The sequence below is a fragment of the Homo sapiens genome, chromosome X (genome assembly GCF_000001405.40).
Source record: "Homo sapiens chromosome X, GRCh38.p14 Primary Assembly".
Taxonomy (NCBI): domain Eukaryota; kingdom Metazoa; phylum Chordata; class Mammalia; order Primates; family Hominidae; genus Homo; species Homo sapiens.
In genome coordinates, this window is record NC_000023.11 from 30752990 (window position 1) to 30754422 (window position 1433).

Consider the following 1433-nt stretch of genomic DNA (forward strand, 5'->3'; position numbering starts at 1 on the left):
AGGCTTTTTACCCTTTGACCTCATCTCCCCATTCCGCCAGCCCCCAGCCTCTGGTAACCTGTCCCTCCCCTCCTAGTTCAAAAATTGTCTTCTTGGCTAAATATGTTTAAGTCATTGCCCAGCATATTGTAAAAGTACTAATTATGTATATTCATATATTTAAAATATTCTTGTAAGCATATTTATGCTTACAAACAGGAAAGCACTACTTTCTTTCCAAATAACATTTTAGAAAATTATAATGATGAGGATAGCTATTGGCTAATATACTACCTTCTGTGGTCAAAATTCCAGAGCACTATTTAAAGTACTTCACAAATATTTATCCTGTTTTCTGGTGAGAACATTTAAATCCTCTTTTTTTTTTTAATTTTTATTTATTTTTTATTGATCATTCTTGGGTATTTCTTGCAGAGGGGGATTTGGCAGGGTCATAGGACAATAGTGGAGGGAAGGTCAGCAGATAAACAAGTGAACAAAGGTCTCTGGTTTTCCTAGGCAGAGGACCCTGCGGCCTTCCGCAGTGTTTGTGTCCCTGGGTACTTGAGATTAGGGAGTGGTGATGACTCTTAACGAGCCTGCTGCCTTCAAGCATCTGTTTAACAAAGCACATCTTGCACCGCCCTTAATCCATTTAACCCTGAGTGGACACAGCACATGTTTCAGAGAGCACAGGGTTGGGGGTAAGGTCATAGATCAACAGGATCCCAAGGCAGAAGAATTTTTCTTAGTACAGAACAAAATGAAAAGTCTCCCATGTCTACCTCTTTCTACACAGACATGGCAACCATCCGATTTCTCAATCTTTTCCCCACCTTTCCCCCCTTTCTATTCCACAAAACTGCCATTGTCATCATGGCCCGTTCTCAATGAGCTGTTGAGTACACCTCCCAGACGGGGTGGTGGCCGGGCAGAGGGGCTCCTCACTTCCCAGTAGGGGCGGCCGGGCAGAGGCGCCCCTCACCTCCCGGACGGGGCGGCTGGCTGGGCAGGGGGCTGACCCCCCCCCACCTCCCTCCCGGACGGGGCAGCTGCTGGGTGGAGGGGCTCCTCACTTCTCAGACGGGGCGGCCGGGCAGAGACGCTCCTCACCTCCCAGACGGGGTCGCAGCCGGGCAGAGACGCTCCTCACTTCCTAGATGGGATGGCGGCCGGGCAGAGACGCTCCTCACTTTCCAGACTGGGCAGCCGGGCAGAGGGGCTCCTCACATCCCAGACGATGGGCGGCCAGGCAGAGATGCTCCTCACTTCCTAGACAGGATGGCGGCCGGGCAGAGACGCTCCTCACTTTCCAGACTGGGCAGCCAGGCAGAGGGGCTCCTCACATCCGAGACGATGGGCGGCCAGGCAGAGACGCTCCTCACTTCCCAGACGGGGTGGTGGCTGGGCAGAGGCTGCAATCTCGGCACTTTGGGAGGCCAAGGCAGGCGGCT

The 1433-nt window shown here is 51.8% G+C and overlaps 1 annotated feature.

Moving 5' to 3' along the window:
- Positions 325-1048: an enhancer, noted in NCBI's record as "NANOG-H3K27ac hESC enhancer chrX:30771431-30772154 (GRCh37/hg19 assembly coordinates)". NCBI's record gives its function as "activates a minimal SCP1, AML or CMV promoter by ChIP-STARR-seq in primed H9 embryonic stem cells {active_cell/tissue: H9 hESC(primed)}" and the evidence as "EXISTENCE:reporter gene assay evidence [ECO:0000049][PMID:30033119]".